The sequence below is a fragment of the Homo sapiens genome, chromosome 3 (genome assembly GCF_000001405.40).
Source record: "Homo sapiens chromosome 3, GRCh38.p14 Primary Assembly".
In the NCBI taxonomy this organism is placed as follows: Eukaryota; Metazoa; Chordata; class Mammalia; order Primates; family Hominidae; genus Homo; species Homo sapiens.
Genome location: NC_000003.12, coordinates 163837748 through 163864390, shown reverse-complemented (window position 1 = coordinate 163864390; position 26643 = coordinate 163837748).

Here is a 26643-nt window from a genome sequence, read left to right as displayed (position 1 = left end):
TGAGTGGTGGAGGTGTCTCAGTGAGATGCATGGGGATCCAGGAGGATGAGGGGACAGAGAGGGAAGGTCATCTTCCCCTGAGGTCTGGCTGTTCTTGGCCAATGTTCAGAAGCCTCTTCCCTCTTTCTCTGCAGTGCCTCCGCACCTCTCTCCACCGCTGCTCTCTTCTGTTCCTCTTGGTGTTCAGCCGCTTGTGTATGTGCCCGCTAAGGTCTTCGGTTTATATAGGAGCAGGATGGGGGGCCTGGCAGGCCAAAAGGCAACTTTTTGGGTGCACAGCCAAAAATGCTGTTCTCACTTAGGGCCGCAGGTCTTCAGACTTGAGGATGGGGACTTTGCCAGGAAACAGCCCTCTTCTACCCAGTATTACCCTATCTCCTGTCGGTATCAGTATTACATACAAATGAAGATATCAATAGAATATCTATATTTAAAACGATGGTTACACCTGTGTAAAATGATATATGGACTAATAAGAAAGTGGAAGACAAAAACTCAAAATGGATGATGTGTTAAAATAGTATAATTTGATGTTTTTCTTATTTTTTCTGATTTTCTCACTTTTCTGATTTTCACTAGTTTTTCACTAGTCTTTTCTCAAGAAAGCAGAATCCACACAATGCACTGAATGTATATAGTGTTTAAAGGCAGGGATTAGAAACATGTGCTGGAAGTGCTTTTGAAGAGAAGGGAAGAGAAGGTTTCACAGAAGGACTCATCCTGTAAAACAGAATCAAGTAATGCTCAGGAAGTTTACCTAGCGCATATTCCATCTGCTCTCTTTCTGAAAATGCTCAGGACTATAATGGCCTTTTATTAGCAGGCTCTACCTAGGAGCTAGAGAAACTGTAGAAATATATTCTGGGAATTGAAAGTTTCTGTTTTCCTCTCTGGGATGTAAAGGAAATCTTAGAAAGGATGGCAGTGATGACAACTTGACTGAGGACAATACAAGCAATACTGAAATATAAATATTGTTCTATATAGGCATACCTTGGAGACATTGCTAGGTCAGTTTCAGACCACCACAGTAAAGCAAATGTTGCAACAAAGTGAGTCACACAAATATTTTGGTTTCTCAGTGCATGTGGAAGTTATGTTTATACAACTGTGGTCTATTAAGTGTGCAATAGCATTATGTCTAACAATGCAATGCACCTATTTTAACTAAAAATATTTTATTAATTAAAATTACTAATAATCATCTCAGCCTTTAGTGAGCCATAATCTTCTTGCTGTTGGAGAGTTGCTTACACATTGATGGCTACTGATCACTGAGGTGGCTAGGGAAGTTTCTTAAGAATAAGACAGCAATCAAGTTTGCTATATCAACTGACTTTTCCTCTTACAAAACAATTTTTCTTTTGTGGCATGTGATGCTGTTCGATAGCATTTTACTCAGAGTAGAACTTCTTTCAAAATTAGAATCAGTCCTCTCTAACCCAGCAGCTGTTTATCAATTATGTTTATGGAATACTCTAAATCTTTTGTTGTCATTTCAGCAATGTTCACAACATCTTTACCAGGAGTAGATTCCACTCAAGTGACCACTTTATTTGTTCATCTATAAAAGGAACTCCTCATCTGTTAAAATTTCATCATGAGAGTGCAGCCAGTCAGTAACATCTTCAGGCTCTACTTCTAATTTGAGTTCTCTTGCTATTTTTATCACCTCTGCAATTACTGTCTCTCCTGAAGGCTTGAGGCCCTCGTAGTCACCCATGAGAGTGATAATCAACTTCTTCCTAACTCCTGTTAAGGTTGATATTTTGACCACCTCCCATGAATCACAAATGTTTAGTAACATCTAGAATACTAAACCCTTTCCAGAAGATTTTAAATGTACTTTTCCCAGGTCCATCAGAGGAATATAGTATTTATAATAGCTATAGCCTTATGAAATGTACATCTTAAATAATAAAACTTGAAGTTGTATTGAATATACTCCTTAATCACGTGCTACTGAATGAATGTTGTGTTAGCAGGCATGAAAACAGCATCAATCTCCTTGTACAGTAGAGCTCTTAGGTGTACAGTACATCTCTGTTGGAGCTCTTACGTGTCTAGGAGAATTGTCAATGAGCAGTAATATTTTGATAATAATCTTTTTTTTTTTCTTCTGAGCAGTAAGTCTCAACAGTGGGTTTACATTATTCAGTAAAACTTGCTGTGAACAGATGTTCTGTCATCCAGGCTTTGTGGTTCCATTTATGGAGCACAAACAGAGTAGATTTCACATGATTCTTTAGGGCCCAAGGATTTTCAGAATGGTGAGTGAGCATTGACTTAAGCCTAAAGTCTTCAGCTCCATTGGCCCCTGACATGAGAGAGTCAGACTCTTCTTTGAAGCCTTGAATCCAGGCATTGACTTCTCCTCTTTAGCTATGAAAATCTTAGATGGCAAAGGTTTCCAATATAATGCTATTTCATCTGCATTAAAGTGTGCTGTTTAGTGTAGCCACTTTAATCAATTATCTTTGCTAGAGCTTCTGGATAACTTGTTACAGCTTCTATGTTAGCACTTGTTGCTTCACCTTGCACTTTTATGTTATGGAGTTGGCTTCTTTTGTTAAACCTCATGAACCAGACTCTGTTAGCTCAGATCTAACTTTGAAATTTCCTGTAATTATGTAACTTTTGGCTTTATAAATGTAAGGCTATAAAATAAGTACCTCTCAAGAGGTTTATCACTTTGGTTAATTAAGATTTTTATCTTGTTACTTTAAAAATTTATTCCTATTCATGCTTTTGTTTAAAAATTCTAAGCAGTCTGAAATGAATATGGATACAACTTCCAAATTACAGTTACATGTCATTTAACAATTGTGATGCATGCTGAGAAATGCACCATTAAGCAATTTTGTCATTGTGCTAGCATCTCAGAGTGTACTTAACACAATACTAGATGATATAACCTATTACACAACTAGGCTATGTGGTATAGCCTATTGCTCCTAGGCTACAAATCAGTATAGCATGTTGCTGTACACAATAGTGTAGGCATTTGTAAAACAATGGTATTTGTGAATCTAAACATATTTAAACATAAAAAAGGTACAGTAAATATGTGATATCAAAAATAAAATTGGTATGCCTTTACAGGGGATTTACCAGGAATGGAGCTTGGAAGGCTGGAAGTTGCTCTGGATGATACAGTGAGTGAGTGGTGAGTGAATATGAAGTCCTAGGATACTCTAGATTTTACAAACATGGCACACTTAGGCTATCCTAAATTTATTAGAACATTTCTTTCTTTAATCATGAATTAACCTTAACTTACCCTAACTTTTTACTTCATAAATTTTTAATTTGTTAAAAACTACTGACTTTTGTAATAGGACTTAGGTAAAAATACAAACATGCTATACAGGTTTACTAAATATTGCCTTTTGTATTTCCTTATTCTATAAGCTCTTTTCTATTTAAAATTTTATTTACTTATTTTTCACTTTTTAAAGTTTGTTATAAACTAAGACATCAACACACAAGCTTGCTGAAAACTAAGACACAAACACACACATTAGCCTAGGCCTACACAGGGTCAAGTATCATCAATATCACCATCTTCTACCACCATATCTTGTCCCACTACAAGTTCTTCAGGGGCAATAACAGGAATGGAGCTATCAACCCCTATGATAACAATGCCTTCTGAAATATCTGAAGGACCTGCCTGAGGTTGTTTTACAGTTAACATTTTAACATTTAAGTAAAAATAGTACACTGTAAAATAATGATAATAATTATAGTATAGTAAATACTGGCGATAGGCATTTTTTTAGCTGATTACATGCTTATGGGACCACCATCAACTATGTGATTCCTCATTGACCAAAATGTTGTTATGAGGTACATGATTCTAATATCATTATCTGATATAATTTTTAAGACTTTTAGTTTCAAACATTCTCTGACTTGTAAATTTATAAGAAAATACTTTTATTTTTTCTTGTGTCTTATCAGACATTCCTTGATTTTAAAAGGACAATTTAGTGCCCTTATATTTGAATAATTAGGGTTTTTAATGTTTTTTCTTTGTGCTTCCATACTGTTTAACCCATTTATGACTGAGTTTGCAATTATTTGAATTGCAAAATCAGACCCTGGTGATGACCTTGAGCAGTAGGATATAAGTAACTCTCACATGCTTAGCATTCCAATAGTGGAACACTGGGCATAAATGGGTTTTATTTTCTTTATTATGATGATGTTGTGGAGGACACATAGATTTCATATTTATTATCCTACTGGTTACATAAAATCTTACATACTTGTACTGTCTATAAAATTTCCCAAATTCTTTCATTATTCAATATTTTCTTTGAATTAGGGTGCACTCTAACCAGACTGAATATTGCTTTCCATCTTCTTTGTTTATGTATTTTAGAATTTTACTTCTAACATTTTTAGTAAGAAATAGCAGTTTGCATTATCAGTGGTAATAAATATTATGTAGCAGTTGGTCCTCCATATTCCTGGACATCATGTCATGAATTCAACCAATGGCAGATGAAAGATATTTGAGAAAAAAAATGGATGGTTGAGTCTGTCCTGAATATGTACAGACTTTTTTCTTGTCATTATTCCCTGAACAATACAGTATAACACCTATTTATACAGTATTTATGTTGTGTTAGGTATTATAATCTAGAGATGATTTCAATTATATGAAAGGATGTGAGTAGTTCATACTCAAATACTATGCCATGTTATAGAAGGGCCTTGAGCATCTGTGGATTTTTAATCTGCGGTGGTCCAGGGAAAACTGTACTGCTGATATTTAATTAAATTTAAAACAATATTTTTGTTTTCATCATTGTTTCATGCAACCACCTCTTTCCCTTAGGAAATTCATCTTGAAAGTTACATAAGTTAGTAATTTTTTTTATCGGAGAGAATTTATAAGTAGCAAAGTTAGTTTCTATAAGTAGTGAGTAGCAAATTGTATTATTGTTATATTCCCTCGACATCTCTATTTCTCTCTTTTTTGAATGATAATTTAGCCAGGCATATAATCATACATTGTCATTTATTTTTTCCTCATCACTTTGAAGACATTAATCTATTGTCTCCTACAAATATTGTTCAAATTAAAAGCAATCTGCTGATAGTTTGTAGTTCTTTAGTAGGCCACAAAATTGTGCAGATATAATTTGGCCTGTAGAAGTCTAAGGTAAGGCTAATTTGTTTCTTTGCAATAAAAATGACTTGTACATCCTCCACTTTAGATATAATTTCAGACATTATTTTTTATCCTTTGTGGCTTTCGGTTTTTTTTTTTAAAGAAAAGAGGTTTAATTGACTCACAGTTCCACATGGCTAGGGAGGCCTCAGGAAACCTGCAATCATGGCAGAAGGGGAAGAGGCATGTCTTACATGGCAGCAGGTGAGAGAGAGTGAGTGTGTGATAGAGAAACTGTCAGATACTTATAAAACCATCAGATCTCATGATAACTCACTCACTATCAAGAGAACAGCATGAAGGACACTGCCCTCATGATCCAATCACCTCCCTCCAAGTCTCTCCCTCAATACATGGGGATTATGGGGATTACAATTCAAGATGAGATTTGGGTGGGACACAAAGCCTAACCATAACATTCCACCCCTGGCCCCTGCTAAATCTCATGTCCTCACATTTCAAAACCAATCATGCCTTCCCAACAGTCCCCCAAAGTCTTAACTCATTTCACCGTTAACTGAAAAGTCCAAGTCCAAAGTCTCATCTGAGACAAGGTAAATCCCTTCTACCTAGGAGCCTATAAAAACAAAAGCAAGTTAGTTACTTCAAAAATACAGTCATTGGATAAATGCTTCCATTCCAAATGGGAGACATTGGCCAAAACAAAGGGGATACAGGCCCCATGCAAGACCAAAATCCAGTGGGGAAGTCATTAAATCTTAAAGCTCTGAAATGATCCCTTTGACTCCATGTCTCACATCCGGGGCATGCTGATGCAAGAGGTGGGCTCCCATGGTCTTGGGCAGCTCTGCCCCTGTGGCTTTGCAGGGTACAGCCTCACTCCCAGCTGCTTTCACAGGCTGGTGTTGAGTGTCTGTGGCTTCTCCAGGCACACTGTGCAAGCTGTCAGTGGATCTACCATTCTGGGGTCTGGAGGATGGTGGCACTCTTCTCACAGCTCCACTAGGCAGTGCCCTAGTGGGGACTCTGTGTGGGGGCTCCAACCCCACATTTTCCTTCCACATTGCCCTAACAGAGGTTCTCCATGAGGGCTCCACCCTTGCAGCCAACTTCTGCTTGTACATCCAGGCATTTCCATAGATCCTCTGAAATCTAGGTGGAGGTTCCCAAACCTCAATTTTTGACTTCTGTATACCTGTAGGCCCAACACGAAGTGGAAGCCATCAAGGATAGGGACTTGCACCCTCCAAAGCAATGGCCTAAGCTGTACCTTGGCCCCTTTTAGCCACCACTGGAGCTGAAGTGGCTGGGATGCAGGGTACCATGTCCTGAGGGTGCACAGACAAGGAGGTGCCTGAACCTGGCCCACAAAGCAATTTTTCCCTCCTAGGCCTCCAGGCCTGTGATAGGAGGGGCTGCCATAAAGATCTCTGTCATGCCCTGGAGACATTTTTCCCATTTTCTTGGTGATTAACATTTGGCTCCTCTTTATTTATGCAAATTTCTGCAGTCAGCTTGAATTTCTCCCCAGAAAATGGGTTTTTCTTTTCTATCACATCATCAGGCTGCAAATTTTCCAAACTTAGGCTCTGCTTCCCTTTTAAACATAAGTTCCATTCCAATTTCAGATAGTCTCTCTCAAGTTCAACATTCCACAGATCTTTAGGTCAGAGCCAAAATGCTGCCAGTGTCTTTGCTGGGAGAACCTCCCCAAAGCATATTCAGTAATCACACACACACACACAAACACACACACACACACACAAAGAAAAGACAGAAAGACAGGAAGGATGATGGAATGAAGGAAGGAAGGAAGGAATCTGGATACAAGGGAGGGATCATAATACTGAAATGGAAGTCTACAATTTGACCCAACTGGAAATTCAAAATTTACTTAAAGAATTTATGAAACAGAAACATAAATGTGCACTGAATTTCTTTTGCACCTCTACAACATAGCTTATGGATTAACTTTAATATCTGCTAAAACACACCAATTGGCAAACCTTCATAGATTCAATCAATACTTGGGTTCAAATTACAGTAATACCTGGGGATCCTTCTAAATTTAAACAACACACCCCCTATAATGTTCAGGGAGTTACTGAACATAAAAATAGAGGACAAACAGTTATGCCCCACTTTAACTATCAAAAAAATTGCCTTGCCTAAATTCCCCATGATTATAGTACCCATTGCCCTAAAAATCCCATAGTGGACATGGATGCTCTGATCCAGTGGGTAATAAATTAAAACTAAGTTTTTGGCACTTACAAATTGGCTTTAAAATGGGACCATGTAGACTTTTCCATCTCTCCGAACCACCACTAAAATATTTAATAAGGTCCAATGTAAAATAAAATAGGGTCTTCAAGGATTGAAACACAATATACAAGGTTTATATAGAAAAGGAGTGGTTGATACCACTGCTCCTGCTTATCACAATCCAATTTAGCCTCTTCTTTCTTTCTTTTTTTGCTTTTTCTTTTTCTTTCTTTTTTTTCTTTTTTTTTGGCCTCATTCTTTTATTTTATTTTATTATTATTATACTTTAAGTTTTAGGGTACATGTGCACAATGTGCAGGTTAGTTACATATGCATACATGTGCCATGCTGGTGTGCTGCACCCATTAACTTGTCATTTAGCATTAGGTATATCTCCTAATGCTATCCCTCCCCTCTCCCCCCACCCCACAACAGTCCCCAGAGTGTGATGTTCCCCTTCCTGTGTCCATGTGTTCTCATTGTTCAATTCCCACCTATGAGTGAGAACACACGGTGTTTGTTTTTTTGTCCTTGCGATAGTTTACTGAGAATGATGATTTCCAATTTCATCCATGTCCCTACAAAAGACATGAACTCATCATTTTTATGGCTGCATAGTATTCCATGGTGTATATGTGCCACATTTTCTTAATCCAGTCTATCATTGTTGGACATTTGGGTTGGTTCCAAGTCTTTGCTATTGTGAATAGTGCCGCAATAAATATACGTGTGCATGTGTCTTTATAGCAGCATGATTTATAGTCCTTTGGGTATATACCCAGTAATGGGATGGCTGGGTCAAATGGTATTTCTAGTTCTAGATCCCTGAGGAATCACCACACTGACTTCCACAATGGTTGAACTAGTTTACAGTCCCACCAACAGTGTGAAAGTGTTCCTATTTCTCCACATCCTCTCCAGCACCTGTTGTTTCCTGACTTTTTAATGATTGTCATTCTAACAGGTGTGAGATGGTATCTCCTTGTGGTTTTGATTTGCATTTCTCTGATGGCCAGTGATGGTGAGCATTTTTTCATGTGTTTTTTGGCTGCATAAATGTCTTCTTTTGAGAAGTGTCTGTTCATGTCCTTCGCCCACTTTTTGATGGGGTTGTTTGTTTTTTTCTTGTAAATTTGTTTGAGTTCATTGTAGATTCTGGATATTAGCCCTTTGTCAGATGAGTAGGTTGTGAAAATTTTCTACCATTTTGTAGGTTGCCTGTTCACTCTCATCGTGCTTTCTTTTGCTGTGCAGAAGCTCTTTAGTTTAATTAGATCCCATTTGTCAATTTTGTCTTTTGTTGCCATTGCTTTTGGTGTTTTAGACATGAAGTCCTTGCCTATGCCTATGTCCTGAATGGTAATGCCTAGGTTTTCTTCTAGGGTTTTTATGGTTTTAGGTCTATCGTTTAAGTCTTTAATCAATCTTGAATTAATTTTTGTATAAGGTGTAAGGAAGGGATCCAGTTTCAGCTTTCTACATATGGCTAGCCAGTTTTCCCAGCACCATTTATTAAATAGGGAATCCTTTTCCCATTGCTTGTTTTTCTCAGGTTTGTCAAAGATTAGATAGTTGTAGATATGCGGTGTTATTTCTGAGGGCTCTGTTCTGTTCCATTGATCTATATCTCTGTTTTGGTAAGGCTTTCGGTTTTATTAGAATGTTTGGATATCATTTATTTACTTGTTCCATTTAATAATTGAAAAATATTTTAAATTATAGCCTTGTCTGTTTTTACTTTTAGAGAATTTTAATGATTTTAATTCAAATATTCTATCTCAATGTTGTATCTCCTACAAGTTTTTCCATTATGTTCTATTGAAAATCTAACATTTATGTTGGTGCCCTCCAGTCTTCCACTACGTCCCTACATGACCATTTTTAAACCTCTTTAACACTCTACTATTTTATTAAATTTTACTGAAACAAGTTTAGTGTTTATTCCAAATACTGAGTTTTGTTATTTTTTTAATTAAAAAATACTCCATTCCTGAGTACCTGCTTAGGCTTTTGTTGCCCACTAACAAAATGGGGAGAGTTGTGCAGGTGGTTGCCTTGGATTTCACTGGTGTGATCTAGTGTACTCAGTCACCAAGAAGCAGATTCTAAAGGATCTGAAACGCTCTAGTGTCTGAGTACACTAGAATGGAGCAATGGCATGACCACTGTAGACTTGCTGTTGGTGGCTCTTTATGGTGTGGATTATGGGTAAAATGCCTACCTCTATTAGCAGTTTGGTACCTGGTCTAAATAGCTGGCAGGTACAAGTTGTGGAAGGTGCCATGCACCACTTGTCCACCCAGCAGAGCCAACCTCCACTGTGTGCTTCCTATTGAGCATGATGGGGTAGATTATGAACAGGGTGGGCAAAGGTCACAACTACTGAATCAGCCATTCCTTGAGTGGTCCTTTGTTGGTGACAATACACCAAGTGAAATGATGGCATTGCCCAGTTTCACTGGTTGCTCCATATGTATATTTGAGGGGGATGTGCATAGGACTTCTGCAGGATTTAGCTGGCTATAGAAGATGCCTATATAGTAATTATTTTCAGTTATTTTTATTTTTGATGTACATCTGTATTTTTATTTGTTCTCATTATTTTTACATTAACATTCTTACCATGATGCTCTGCTAATGATGATTCTTCCTGCTGTAGTATATCTCAGAAAACTTTAATTATCTAGTTTTAATTTTAATAGTTTTCATAAGTTTTAGAACATTTTTATACATTGTTTCATCGATATAGGATTTCCTGTTTCAATAAATCTCTTTACAATACTGATGAGGAAAAAAGCAAATAGCATTCAACTGAAAAATAAAAGTAAAAATTAAACATATCCTAGACTATGGGAACAATGAATAATAATTACAATAACAATGAAAACTTTAAAAAAGCCAAAACAACTATATTGAAAGAGAAACACAATGATATTTAATAAAATTATGAAATTATTGATATCTCTTATCAAAGCAAACAAACAGAAAATTTAACTGCTCAGACCATACTTCTTAAAGTACAAAAAGGACACAAAATCCACACCCAGTAAAATGATTGCATTGCCTGGTTTCACTGGTTGCTTCACATGCGTATTTGAGTAAGTTCTAGCTAGAGAGATAAAATTTAAAAAAAGCTATGATAGGAAATCTAGAAAACCTATTGCGAAGGAATGGAATCAGCTGAAATATCACTCTTTATATCCTTCTTATCCTTTATATCCTTCTGGGCCTAGATGAGATAATGAATGTTGAAGCATCAAAAGCTACCATATATCATGATACGTAGTTAAGGATAGAAGACAAATGTTAGTATAGCAGCACAAACATAAAAGCATTTGGATCTTCGATAAAGAGAAGATATTCCACCAGATTTTGTGGAGGAAATGCAAACTTTCATGTTGTTTAGTTGCTGTTCTAGCTTTCTTTTCCCTTTACTAAAAAAAAAAGAATCTCCCTTTCACTTATCTGGAACTATGAACCTTCCTCTCTCATATTTTCACCACTCTTTCTCAGCTAGGTGTTTCTTATTTAAGTATAAATATGACAAATATTTTTCTATTTTTTTAAAGTGATTATTTAGTGTCATATGAATTGCATAAAATAAAAAGGCAAAACCTGTACTAGAAAAAATTTTTGTAAAAAAAAGACGAGTAAAAAGTAATACACAAGGATAAATAATCACAAATTAAATATCTAATTCTAGAACACGCATATATACTAAATGCTAGAATATACACACATATATACATGCATAAGTATATATGTTTATTCTACTAGTTAGATATTTAATATATCTAAATATCACAAATCTACCTAGTGTGAGCTTAATTACAAGAGTAAAACTTAAAAATATCATCAATGTTCACCAATAACGTTAATCAGTAAGTTATTGGTTAAATTATAATAGCACATTCATCTTATGGAAAACTTAAGTCATTAAGGTTTTCAATACATTTTTGCAAATGTATTGAAGAACACGAAGACTTCTAGAAACATTTAAATGTAGAAATTAGGCTATAGAACAATGGGCATAACTCCAAATATATTCATATACATTTATGTAGAGGGGACAAATACTATAAAAGGCTATACAAAATATTAAAAGTATGATGTGAGTCATGTTCTGGGTAATTCTATTTTTCTTGTTTTCATTTTTTTATAATATTTTTATGCATTTTTTAAAAATGTAATCATAAAAGTCAAAGAAGCTGCCAGTGACAATAAGCCAAGATGAATAATAAAAACAGCAGGCTGCTATGATTTCCAAAATCCAAATCAATTCTGAAAGGGCAATTAAGGGAAAGAACTCCTCTTTGGACCAGTAGTGCTGCTTCTCCCAATGGCTAGTGAGTAGAACAAGTGATGTGAAAAAGTTGTGAGACAATTTTAAAAATCATCCTGATCAAATTAGCAATGCCAAATAGTTTTTATGTATGCGTGCTCATTTATTCATTGTCTTTTAAGTTCCTGATTCCCCTTTCAAATCATTACATATTTATACACCCATACCCTTCCCAATTCCCAAGAAACAGTTTCTTAAGGTTGAACTAACTAGAACACATACTGACCTTTCCCTGTTCATATTTTCAGAATTATGTAAATATGTGCATTGCTTTCCACATTCTTGTCGTCAAAGAAATATAAATATTCTGAAACTCCTTCATCTTACTAAACTGAGTTACATCAGCAGAGTCCTAAAAATTATCAGCATAACTCTGTCCACACTATCATTTCATTCTTTTTTACAAGAGTTCCTTCCAAATAAAACGATATCATATATAAATAAAAATAATTTTCTCTAAATACCATGTATGTTAATCTTATTCAAGCACAATATATTTTCTTCCTATAAAAAAAGATATATAAAAACAAGAAAAGTAGCTACAACCTATTCATAATCTCTCAAGACATACTTACTTTTTACTCAACTCTTATCTTTGGAGAAATAGACCATTAACAAAAGGTTGTGAGAGCTATTAATGTGCTGCAAGTTTAAGTAGAAGAACTTTTGAAGAACAATGGAATGATACAGTTTTATATCTATGTCATCAGATGATTCAAACAAAAAAATCAACTCTGTTAATCCTAATAAATGTTTAATTTTCTTTAATATATGCAATCAAAATGAAGTTTAAAAGTTCATTCCAGTATCACTGTGCATGATACAATATATTCTGTTTAAATGTTCAATATTAAACATCAACTTACTACTTTTATGGTGATAAGAGTGCAAATTTTAGCACCGCACAACATCAAGGTGAACACATACTTCTAAGTATATTGTGAAACCTAAACAGCTTAAAATATTTGGAATTAGTCATGTACTCATTTAGTTTATAATTACTTTCAAATTTGAACCAATCAAACTAGAAGCTATGACTATAAAAATATACAAATATTTGGAGTATACACATATAAAATGAGATAACATTTTTTGACCGCTAATATTAAATGTTAAAATAAAAGCATACTTTAGTACAGCAATAGGTATTTTCTCTTTTGCTATCTGTCCTAAGTCCAGTTTCAGAAATATTTGAACTTTTAGAAAAGAATTTTTTAAATATAATTGTTTTACACTAGGATTAAAAGATTTTATAAATGGCTCCTTGAAATTTTGATTGTATTCAAAACCAAATGGGAAGCTTAATTTATTCAATGAATCAAATGTCAAAATGTCAGCTTTTGAAGTATCTTTGAATTGATTTATTAAAACTGAAACTTGCAAATATAAAGAAATTGAAATTTATTTTTAAAGTTACCACACAAGTTAAATAATTAGATAAAAATATGTTCATAATTTAATTTTTAAATTTTATTATTATACTTTGAAACATTTCATTTTGTGAAAGAAATTTTTAGACTGAGCTTATATTTACAATTCAATAAATTTGTATTCTTAAACAAAATGGAATAAAATTGAAAAGGCTTATGATTTTGCCATGACTACATTTAGCAATACATTTTTAAGTGTAAATACAGGAAATTGATGAGCTTGTATAGTAAAAATAGTTTTTGAAGAAAAGTACTTTGAATGAGGACCAAAAAACAGTAAAAGAAAAAAATATGTTCTATGCAAAAAATAGCATTTAATAACACCTTTTAATTGTCAGAGTTTGGTATGAGCCTACAAGGTACCTCAGTGTCTATAGAAAGAGTATTTCTCAACTAAAAGTAGTTTGGCTTACAAAACAATTAGGCAAAAGTGCCAATAATTACAGTTACTTAAGGTTAATGAGCCTTAAAACAAAAAAAATCGAGGTCAATTCTACTACAAAATTTAAAATAAGACCATACCATAAAGAAATAGTTTTCATCCCTTGTCCCCCTCCTCCCCTCCACCCCCTGCCCCACAAGTCCCCAAAGTCCATGGTATCATTTTTATGCCTTCCCGTCGTCGTAGCTTAGCTCCCACATATCAGTGAGAACATACAGTGTTTGGTTTTCCATTCCTGAGTTACTTCACTGAGAATAGTAGTCTCCAATCTCATCCAGGTCACTGCAAATGCTGTTAATTCATTCATTTTTATGGCTGAATAGTATTCCACACTGTGTGTGTTTGTGTGTGTGTGTGTGTGTGTGTGTGTGTATATATATCGTGTGTGTATATATATGTGTGTTTGTATATCTATATGTGTGTGTTTGTGTATATATATTTGTGTGTGTATATATATATGTGTATATATATATATATTAGTTTCTTTATCCACTAGTTGATTGATGGGCATTTTTATTGGCTCCATGATTTTGCGATTGCCAACTGTGCTGCCATATCTTTTTTTATAATGACTTCTTTCCCTTTGGGTAGATACCTAGTAGTGGGGTTGCTGGATCAAATGGTAGTTCTACTTTTAGTTTTTTTTTTTTTTTGAGATGGAGTCTTGTTCTGTCACCCAGGCTGGAGTGCAGTGGCGCAATTTCAGCTCACTGCAACCTCCGCCTCAAGGGTTCAAGCCATTCCTATCTCAGCCTCCCAAGTAGCTGGGACTACAGGTGTGCACCACCAACCCTGGCTAATTCTTTGTATTTTAGTAGAGACGGGGTTTCACCATGTTGGCCAGGATGGTCTCAATCTCCTGACCTCGTGATCCACTCATCTCAGCCTCCCAAAGCACTGGGATTACAAGCATGAGTCATGGGCCCGGCCTACTTTTAGTTCTTTAAGGAATCTCCACACTGTTTTCCATAGTGGCTGTACTAATTTACATTCCCATCAGCAGTGTAGAACTGTTCCCTGATCCCCGCATCCACGCCAACATCTACTGTTTTTTTGATTATGGCCATTTTTGTAGGAGTAGGGTGGTGTTGCATTGTGGTTTTGATTTGCATTTCTCTGATCATTAGTGAGGTTGAGCATTTTTTCATGTTTGTTGGTCATTTATATGTCTTTTTTTGAGAATTGTCTATTCATGTCCTTAGCCCACTTTTTGACGGGGTTGTTTTTTTTCTTACTGATTGGAGTTCGTTGTAGATTCTGGATATTAGTTCTTTGTCAGATGTATAGATCGTGAAGATTTTCTCCAACTCTGTGAGTTGTCTGTTTACTCTGCTGACTGTTCGTTTTGTCATGCGAAAGCTCTTTATTTTAATTAAGTCCCAGCTATTTATCTTTGTTTGGATTGCATTTGCTTTTGGGAAATCCTTGCCTAAGCCAATATCTAGAAGGGTTTTTCCAATGTTATCTTCTAGAATTTTTATAGTTTCAGTTCTTAGCTTTCAGTCCTTAATCCACCTTCAGTTGATTTTTGCACAAGGTAAGCGACGAGGATCCAGTTTCATTCTCCTACATGTGGCTAGCCAATTATCCCAGCAGACTACAAATAGGGTAGGGTGTATAATGTTTGGGTGACAGGTGCACCAAAATCTCACAAATCACTACTAAAGAACTTACTCATGTAACCAAATACCACCTGTACCCCAGTAACGTATGGGAAAATTTAAAATATATATATATATATCTCACCAGAAAGACCTAGAGCAACACTTGAAAAGTATTAGTGTTTCTGCAACAGAATTTAGGACTATTCACAAGTATAGTTAAAAATGTCTATATAAAAGTTATATATGTAAAAATATGAATAATAAATATAATATCTATAAGTAGCCTCATGTAAGTTCAGTTCAAGTTTTGCTAATCAGTTAAGTAAATTCATGACCTAGAGTAGGAAACGATATGCCATACTATCAACTGCTGTTGAAGTCCTAATCCCTGTGAATGTGACCTTATGGAAAATAGAGTCTTTGCAGATATAATTAAGATGCCAATTAATATGGGGTTTTACTGGAGCAGGATGGGCCCTTAATCCGATATAACCCTATCCTTAAAAGAGGCACACAGAGAATGCCATGTGAAGACACAGACAAAGGGAAGATAGCCGTGTGACCACAGAGGTAGAGACTGGAGTGATGTAGCTGTGATCCAAGAAATGCTAAGAATTGCCAGAAACCACCAGAATCTGGAGAAGACAGCGTGCCCCCCCTTGCTGATGCCTGGACTTTGGACGTATAGCCTCCAGAACCACAAGAAAATAAGTCTCTGTTGTTATAAGCCACCTAGTTGGTGGCACTTTGTTACAGCAGCCCAGAGAAATCAATGCACCATCTAGCCAAGGTACTACTTGAATCCATAGCTCCAAACTGCTTTTCAAATTTCAATTTATGATCTCTCTACTAAGAAAATTTCCCTTTTAACACATCATGACTACATTGGGTCATTTTATTCAGTAAAAAATTCTTATATGATACAGATTTCACCTCCTTTTCAGTTATATTTGTTGGCTTGATTAAAAATGTTTGAGATTTTTTTTTAAAAAAGTTATTTTTCAAAAAAAACACCAGTGGTATAGTTTTAGAAACATGCAAGGCTTAGGAATCAACTAAAATACACAATTATACATCACATATAATTACGTTTAACTTTTGCTTTAATACATGAGTTATTTTTATTTTTAACACATAGTACCTAAATAGAAATATTTTATCAACTCAATAATTTGTTGGTCAATAATATATATTTTGAAATCTGTATTTTAATTAGTTTATTCCCAGAAATTTCCTGGCTCACTGATAAATTCTGTGTTCAAACTAGAAAGAGAAAGATTGGCATTTTACTTCATTAATTTTTAAATTTAGATGACTGTGGAAGCCTATGAAGCTGGTAGTAAACAGCATATGTTATTCTAAGGTAACCCTGATTAATACCTTATGATCAGGTATCAGTGATCTCTAATACTTGTACGTATTTATTCTTGTTTTGTGTAAATGATACTCAGTGCTTACAATATTTCTGTCTCTACATCTCCCCCAAAATGCTTTATTTCCATATTCATCTTTTAAGTTGTCTGTTCATCTGTACACAAGGTTTTTCATGAAATTTATATCAATTAGCATGTGTACAAAATATTGATACCTTTTATCTATTATTTATTTTAATTTAATAATGTCAACAATAGTCACTTTTAACTTTTATTTAGGTTCATGGGTACATTTGCATGTCTGCTTTATAGGTAAATTGCATGTTGTAGGGGTTTGATGTACAGATTGTTTAATCACTCAGGTAATAAGCATAGTATCTGCTAGGCAGTTTTTTTATCCTCACCCTCCTCCCACCCTCCACCCTCAAGTAGACCCTGGTGTCTGTTTTTTCCTGCTTCGTGTTCATAGATACTCAGTGTTTAGCTCCCACATATACGTGACAATATGTGGTATTTGATTTTCTGTTTCTGTGTTAGTTTGTTTAGTTGGGCTTCAGTTACATGCATGTTGCTGCAAAGAACATAATCTCATTGCTTTTATTGCTATGTAATATTCCATGGTGTACGTGTACCACATCTTCCTTATCCAGTGTACCGATGATGGACATTTATATTGATTCAATGTGTTTGCTTTTGTGAATAGCGCTGCAATGAACATATGCGTGCAGGTGTCTTTATGATAGAATGATTTATTTTCCTTTGGGTTTATACCCAATACTGGGGTTCTGGGATAGAATAGAAATTCTGTTTCAGTTTCTTTCAGAAACTGCCAAACTGCTTTCTACAATGGCTAAACTAATTTATATTCGCACCAGGAGAGTATAAGCATTGCCTTTTCTCTACAACCTTGCCAGCACCTGTTATTTTCTGACTTTTTATTAATAGCCATTCTGACTGATGTGACAAGGTATCTCACTGTGGTTTTGATTTGCACTTCTCTAATGATTAGTGACGTTGAACATTTTCTCATATGCTTGTTGGCTGTGTATGTCTTCTTTTGAGAAGTACTGTTCATGTCTTTTGTCCACATTTTAATAGGGACTTTCATATTTCCTCGTAAATTTGTTTACGTTCCATATAGATTCTGGATATTAGATCTGTGTCAGATGCATAGTTTGCAAATCTTTCTACCTATGTAACAAACATTCAGCTGTACCCTTGAACCATTGTGTAGGTTGCCTGTGCACTCTGTTGATAATTTCTTTTGCTATGCAGAAGCTCTTTAGTTTAATTTGATCTCATTTGTCAATTTTTGTTTTTGTTGCAGTTCCTTTTGGCATCCGCATCATAAAATCTTTGCCCAGTTCTATGTCCAGAATAGTATTGCCTAGGTTATCTTCAAGGTTTTTTATAGTTTATGTTTTACATTTAAGTCTTTAATCCACCTTGAGTAAAGAAAGGGATCCAATTTCAATTTTAAATAAAAAATCCTCATGTAGCCTATAGTTTTCATTTTGTCATTGAGCATAAAAAATAAAAAATCTTCAAGATTAATAGCAGTTACTTAACACTTCCTATAAATATCTTCCCCTCCCTTTACACCCCTCCTCTTCCCTCAGACTAGGACAACTTTCTTCTTTCATGCATCCATAATATCCACGTACTTTTCATTCAAAGCCTTTTCATAATCAATCTTTTGTGTTTTTCTTTAATCTCCATCTTCTACTATATGGTGTTAGCTACTTGAGGATAGCCCCGTGCTGTCTTTTTCATGATTATATTCACCAAAAATAACACAGTGCTTGATACATGATAGATAATACATATTGAAAATATCAACTGACCATAAAATCATGTATAATAACTTCATTCATTTACATTATTTCATTTAACACACACATATTAAGTGCCTACTATGCAAGACATGACATATTAATGACCAAAACAAACAAAAAATATGTGCCTCATAGGGCTTAGCTTATATTCTTTTTGTGTGAATCAGAAAATAAAGAATAAATGTAACCAATTTACATCCTACATTTCATATAATATAAAAAGTGAAAAGGACTTTGGGAAAATAAAATGAGAAGAGGACAATGAAAATTGAGAGTAAGGGGTGAGAGTAGGAGTTATAACTATAAATAGGGAAAAATAACTATATCTATAAATAGAATGTGGCATTTGATTAAAGCCTTGAAAGAGGTGAGAGTTAGCTGTGGAGATTCTTGGGGGAGAGCACTTGAAATAGAGAGAATAGCTAGTACACAAATCTTAAAGGGGAGGATGCCTGGAGTGTGTGAGAAAAAGCAAGGTGGCTAGTGTTGCTAGATCCCAATGCATCAGGGGAGATCAGTTTGAGAGTAATTATACTTCGTGAGTTCTTGAAGAGCATTCTGGCAAAGTTCAATAAATTTTTACTCTGCTTTGAGTTTATTCACTTGAATGAATATATAAGAGGAACTGTATACACTAAATACATTTGCTTTTACTAAATTCAGCGAATCTGGAGAATAACTGAAAAAATGCCCAAGATTGACATTATTTGTTATACAAGGGCAGGCATCTTATTGATACTGAAAATTTAAGCTAGACATGTATTAAAAAATGACTTTCATTTCACCATGCGTATTTATGTGTCTACTAATAATTGCCATGTGACACGGTTTTTGCTCAGAAAATGTGTTAAAGTTTTGCTAAATGAAAATCATATTTACAAAATAAGAATTACAGTTCATTTACACAGTGAATAAGTTATAGAATATTGAGGCATCACAAACAATAAAAATAAAAATCTTGAAATTGGCAATAAAACCAAGGAGAAGGTTATATAGTCCACAGACCACAGGGAAATAAAGTTAAAAGGTCAGCATGATATATTTGGAACAAGGACCAATTTTAATAAACTCCATAATATAGAACTCTTAAATAATGCAGAAAAAAATGTGTTTGGGTCCTGTTCAGATTTTCATGTTACTCTTCATCATAATAGTGTAACACCTTTAAACAAAGTTGCCTTTTCTATTTTAGATGTTGATTATTTTAAACAAGACAAAAATTGTGTGGAAGTATAGAAAATCTTGGTTATCCAATTCAAGGAATGTATGAAAATCCATCTAGTCTTCAATTAAGGATGTAGAATTTTTCCCATTCTTTGATGTATACTCAAATAAGAAAATATTTTCAAAAATAGCATTAGAAAAATCATTTGATTATTGTTTCCTTGTAAGTATACTGTCATTTTTAAATATGCTTTTCACAGATAGATATTTAATTAAGGCAGCTTCTGAATTTTCTCCCTTAAAAATACGGTTATGTCTTGTATACCATTGCATACCTATTTAATTCTCCTAAACACAAACATTGTAGATAGCCTAGTATTTTATTACTAACCAATGAAAGAAAAAAAACACTTGCAAAAGATGCATAGTGTTAAAAGCTATTTACTTCACAGTCCTTATTTATATTTTACCCAAGCTACAAATAATTGAATTTTAATTATGAACAATTCCATGTCGTAAAGAATTTGTCATATAGAAGAGTTTTTGATACAAGTGATTTACATAAGTAGTATCAAGAAAGTAAACAGTGTAAAATTCTGTGACTTTAGGATGTTTATTAATATTTTTAAAAATTCACATACATTAAATCCTAAAATCAATAATTGTGTTTTAATGTCTTCTTTTCTTCTCATAAAACATTAAGCCTAAATTAATCGTGACATTCTTTTCATTATACATTCTGAGTTATTTCCTTAGAAAAAATGCCATTCCATAATTTCTCAGATAAAATTATTTTCAAATCTAAGAAGTAATTCTTGCTTCATTGCTGTTCGTAGTTGCTCCATACTAAAGAGGTTAGCAAAAGACAGTCTCCACATAAACTAAAATACAAAATGGTACAAATTGCTTATATATGGTAATAATGAGAAGGAATTATATTAAGTGTGATTTAAGTGAAATGATGGCAATTATTTTTCATATTGCATGTCTAATCGTGTGTCTGGGATACTATAAAGTCCTTGTGTTAATCAGGTCTTTTGGAAGCAGTCACTGACATAGAGTTACAATTGCAAGAGACTTATTATAGGATACCATTTTTGAAAGGTGAAAGGGGAGGGAAATAAGATTAGGCAGGGGAGGCCTTCAGACCTAGAAGCAGATAGAATACCTGGTACAGTAAAAGGGCAGGCCAGGATTTGGCAGGGAGAGTCTTCAGCTTAGTCCTCTCATTTATAGTATAATGGAACATATATAGCTATTTAAAAAATATTTTCTCTAATCTTTGTTCTTGTCTCTATAAAGATTCCCCGTGTGTGTGTTTTACTTATACTTTTTTTTTCAAAACTAGACCCCTAAATTAATATCTACTAGTGTCCTGTGACTATTTTTAAAGCAAATAAAATTACATAGAATAAAAAATTCAGTTTGTTAGTCAAATTAGCTAATTTCAAGAGCTCATGAGCCACATATGGCTACTGGCTACCATATTTGATAGTGCAGATATAGAGATTTCTTACAATTGCAGATATTTCTATTGAGTTACTATCATTTAATCACTAAGTTCCAACACAAATGGCAACATTTACGGACTGATTCCTATATGAAATATACTGAGTAATTTGAACAAGACATCTCTTCCTTTGCCTCTTGAAATATATATTTTAAAATATATTTTATGTATTTAAATAAGGAATATATATTTCTTATTTAATATTACAAATAAGAAATTTATATGTTATTGATTTAATTATAATTGTGATAATGATATGTGTTACTAAGGGTAAGTACAAGGTGCTACATCCCAGGTGTCATGACCAAGGCAAATACAGATTTCATTAAAGAGGAATTGGTTGCAAATCACTAAGAAAATGCCAAAAAAAGAAGTAACCTCAGCAAAACCTTGTTGTGAATTTATGTATGTCTGTACTGGGTATTGGTAAGAAATACTTCGTGTTAGGGAATATAGAAATTCATTAAAAAAAAAAAAAGACAGGGAATTTCTACTGGGCCAGAGGAGATAAAATGAGGAGAGAGAAATTGAATTGAAAACATTTGAAAGATGTTGAGTGTGTGTGCATATGTGTGTGCGTGTGTTTGTGTGTGATATGAATGTGCTTATGAGTATTAAAGAAAATGGAAAGAATAAAAATAAGTGTTCAGATTGTGTCATCTTCATATTGTTACAGAATAAAATAAATAAGGATTTATGCAGATATTTTTAACCAAAGTTGTCAGTTACCTCCTATAGTTTTTATTTCTGTTGTGAAGTACACAGTGTTATTATTTACTGGTGAGGAGACATTTAAAAAACTTTCAGAATTTTGTAAAAAATAGAATATGGTGTGTGATATGGTTTGGCACTGTGTCTCCACTCAAATCTCACCTTGAATTATAATAATCCCCACAGGTCAAGGCTGGGACCAGGTGGAGGTAATTGAATCATGGGGGCAGGTTCCCCCATGCTATTCTCGTGATAGTAAATGAGTTATCATGAGATCTGATGGTTTTATAAGCATCTGGCATTTCTCCTGATGGCACTCATCTTCTTTTCTGCAGACCTGTGAAGAAGTGCCTTTTGTCATGAATGTACATTTCTGGAGTCTTCCAGAGCCATGTGGAACTGTGAATTAATTAAACCTATTTTCTTTACAAATTACCCAGTCTCAGGTATTTCTTCATAGCAGCATGAGGATAGACTAATACAGTAAATTGGTACTGCAGAGAGTGTGGTGCTGCTATAAAGAGACCCAAAACTGTGGAAGTGACTTTGGAACTGGGTAGCAGGTAGAGGTTGGAATAGTTTGGAGGGCTCAGAAGAAGACAGGAAGATGTGAGAATGTTTGGAACTTCCTAGATACTTGTTGAATGGTTTTGACCAAAATGCTGATAGTGATATGGACAATGAAGTCCAGGCTGAGGTTGTTGCAGATGGAGGTGAGGAACTTGTTAGGAACTGGAATAAAGGTGACCTTTGCTATGCCCTTGCTCTAGAGATCTGTGGAACTTTGAACTTGAGAGAGACGATTTATGGTATCTGGTCGAATAATTTTCTAAACAGCAAAGATTTCAAGAGGTGACAGAACATAAGAGCTTGAAAAATTTGCAGCCAGATGATATGATAGAAAAGAAAAAAAAAAAACATTTTCTGTGGAGAAATTCAAGCCCACTGCAGAAATCAGCATAAGTAATGAGGAGCCAAATGTCAATCACCAATACAATTGGGGAAAATGCCTCCAGGGCATGTCTGAGACCTCATGGTAGCCTCTCCCATCATGGGCCCAGAGACCTAGGAAGAAAAAATGGATTCCTGGTCTGGGCCCTGGTCGCTCCCGCTCTGTGCAGCCTCGAGACATGGTGCCCAGTGTTCCAGCTGCTTCAGTTTCTGCCATGGCTAAAAGTGGCCAAGGCATAGCTTGGGCCATTGCTTCAGAGGGTGCAAGCCCCAAGTCTTGGTGGCTTTCATGTGGTGTTGAAACTGTGGGTGCATAGAAGTTAAGAAATGAGGTTTGGGATCCTCTGTCTAGATTTTGGAGGACATATGTAAATGCCTAGATGTCAAGGCAGAAGTTTGCTGCAGGGGAGGAACCCTCATGAAAAACCTCTGCTAGGGCAGCATGGAAAGGAAAATGTGAGGCTCGCACCCCCACACAGAGTCCCCTCTGGGGCACTGCCTAGTGGACTTATGAGAAGAGGGCCACCATCCTCCAGACCCCAGTATGGTAGATCCATAGACAGCTTGCACCATGCACCTGGAAAAGCTGCAGACACTCAATGTCAGCCTGTGAAACAGACAGGAGGCTGGCTGTACCCTGCAACGCAGCAGGTAGGAGCTGCACAATGTCATGGGAGCCCAACTCTTGCATCAATGTGACCTGGATGTGAGACATGGAGTCAAAGGAGATCATTTTGGAACTTTAAGGTTACTGACTGCTCTGTTGGATTTTGGACTTGCATGGGGCCTGTAGCCCCTTTGTTTCAGCCAATTTCTCCCATTTGGAACCAGTATATTTACCCAATGCCTGTACCTCCATTTTATCTAGGAAGTAAATAACTTTCAATTTTATAGGCTCATAGACAAAAGGGACTTGCCTTGTCTCAGATGCGACCTTGGACTTGGACTTTTGAGTTAATGCTGAAATGAGTTAAGATTTTGGGGGACTGTTGGAAGGGCATGATTGTGTTTTGAAATGTGAGGACATGAGATTTGGGAGGGGCCAAGGGCAGAATATGATTTGGCTCTGTGTCCTCACCCAAAATCTCACCTTGAATTGTAATAATCCCCATGTGTCAAGGGCAGGACCAGATGGTGGTAATTGAATCATAGGGGCGGTTTCCCCCATGCTGTTTTCGTGATAGTGATTGAGTTCTCACAAGATCTATCTAATTGTTTTTAAGTGTTTGGCATTTCCCCTGCTTGCACTCATTCTCTCTCTTGCCATCCTGTGTAGAGGTGCCTTTTGCCATGACTGTAGGTTTCCAGAGGCCTCCACAGCCATGTGGAACTGCGAGTCAGTTAAACCTCTTTTCTTTATAAACTACCTAGTCTCAGATATTTCTTCATAGCAGCATGAAAATGGACTTATACAGTGTGAGAGAGTAATATTATCAGAGAAATATTGTGTGATTAGTAGGCAGTGCTGAAGATCCAGTTGAGGTTTTTGATCATAGAGTTACATACGACACCAATATGTTCCTTTGTGATACTTTTTCTCCATGTTCAGAGCCTCTGAAGAAGAAACATAAAAGCTAAAATATGGGCTGGTCAGTGGTCAAAACTTTCAAAAAATGTGCCATTTAAGGACAAACACTTTTCTGTTGTCTTCAATATTAAACTGTTTATATATTAATTAAACCATGATAAACTTAACTATTTTAAGGAAACATAGATTCAGTGAGAGGTTGTACCTTAGAAAAAGATATGTGGTATTCATCTTCTATCAAACAAATGATTTTATTAATTTCTAACAAATTGAAAGAAGACTGGGGGACATAACTACATGCTATGAAGATCTATTATCTTTCTTAATGACAGGATATTTGAATAAAGAGAATATTTATGCGGTGAATATCCTGTCTTCTCTATAAAATTAAAGCTGTAGTTTCCACTGTCATGTTCTCATCAAAATCTAAGGCCATTCTACCTGAATCAGTGATATATGGACATAAGACAGGGAAATACCTGTAGAAAGGGTAGTTCCCTGGCAAAGGCCCCACTCTCAAGCCTGAACAACCCTGGCCCTAAATGAGGACAGTCATTTCTGTTTTCATGCCCCAAAAGTTGCCTTTTGGTCTGCCACACCCTTCATCCTGTGCCTATATAAACCCGAGACATTAGCAGGCACAGACACAAGCAGCTGAATGTTAAGAGGAGAAGAGAAACACACCAGAAGACACCAGCAGACCAGTGATGGGGGAACAACATCGGGAGAAAGAGAGAAGAGGAAGGACATCAGGAGAGTGAGTGGAGTTCAGAAGGGGCAGTTGGAGAAGAGTCCCGGCAGCTGGACAGCCCAGCCCCAGGAGAAAACCACCTTCCCATTCCATCCCCCGCTTCCGGCTCCCCAGGCATCTCGCTGACAGCCACCTCCACCACTCAATAAAATTTTGCACTGATTCTTCCAGCCCACCTATGATCTAATTCTTCTGGTACACTGGGCAAGAACTCAGGCTGTCACACTGGTCCGCTGCCCTTGCAATAAGGCAGAGGATCTATTGAGCTGATTAACACAAATGGTCTGCAGAAGGCAAAGCTGAAAGAGCACACTGTAACACACGCTCACTTGGAGTCATAGACCCCTAGATGCTGCTATAGAGCCAGAGCTCAAAAGCATTCCCCACAGCCAGTACACCTGGGGCACTGCATGCTCCCCCTAGGAGTTTGAGCACGGGGGCAAAAGTAGCAAGCCACACCCCTGTCGCATATCCTGCAAGGGGGATAAGGAACCTTGCCAGTTTCATCAGCATTATCATTAGTGGGTATCATCATTATGTCATCCTCATGATGTGTCATCAGAGCATGGTTTCCTTAACTAGATTGACTTAAAAATATAAAATTCTGATCACACCACAAAATGTTTTCATTAAGAAGAGATATTCAATTTATAAATTATAATTTGTCTTAATTTGCCATGAGAAACTTCAGCAAATAATTTAAATGTTATTTTATGTACTTACAGTACTGATTATTTCTACATTTTTTGCCCATGAAAGTTTGGAGTTTTCATATTATGCATCAGGAGAAAATATCTGGAACATTAAGGAAGACCTTAATTGATATTACATTATTATAATACATGCTCTATTAAATTGAAATTTAAAGCACATTAAAAGGAAGAATTAAATGAAGCCTAATAACAATAATCTTAATCAATGTGAATTGGATATATTATATAGTCATTAGGAAAATTATGTCTTCAGGAGAAAAACATAATTTGCATTTGATTCCTAGATTTCTTTGCTATGTATAATTTAATGTTTCCCTGTACTATAAATTTAAACACAAGTAATCAAAATTTCTAGGGATATTAGATTATATATGCACATATGCAAATATATGTGAAATTTTAAATTCTTTTTTTGTGACATCCCATTTGAAAAAAGTAAAAATATCCTGAATTTAAAAAATTATGAGTATGAGTAATTGTGTAAGTTTAAATAAAGCTATTTTAAAGTCAAAAAAGGAAGGGAGGAAATAACATTTATTAAACACCAACATTTTATTTTGTAGGTTTATCAGGTATTTTCCATATATTATCTCATTTAATCCTAATATTAACTTGAGAGTGATCAGGACTTGTGATATTTGTGAACTGAATGTTCAAACAAGAAAAAAAGCCTCTGAATATAGAAAGCCTAATTTATCAAATAAGTAAAAAGTTTTTATTAGTTAATAGTTGTCTATTATGCAGCACTTTTGAAAAATTTCCTGAAACTTTATTAGGCTCAAAATTTGGGGGCTTTAACTCTTCTAACATGGGATATCAAGATACAATAGGTGTTGTGGCTGCTTCAACCATCACAGTAGGTAAAATTTATCTTTTTGTTT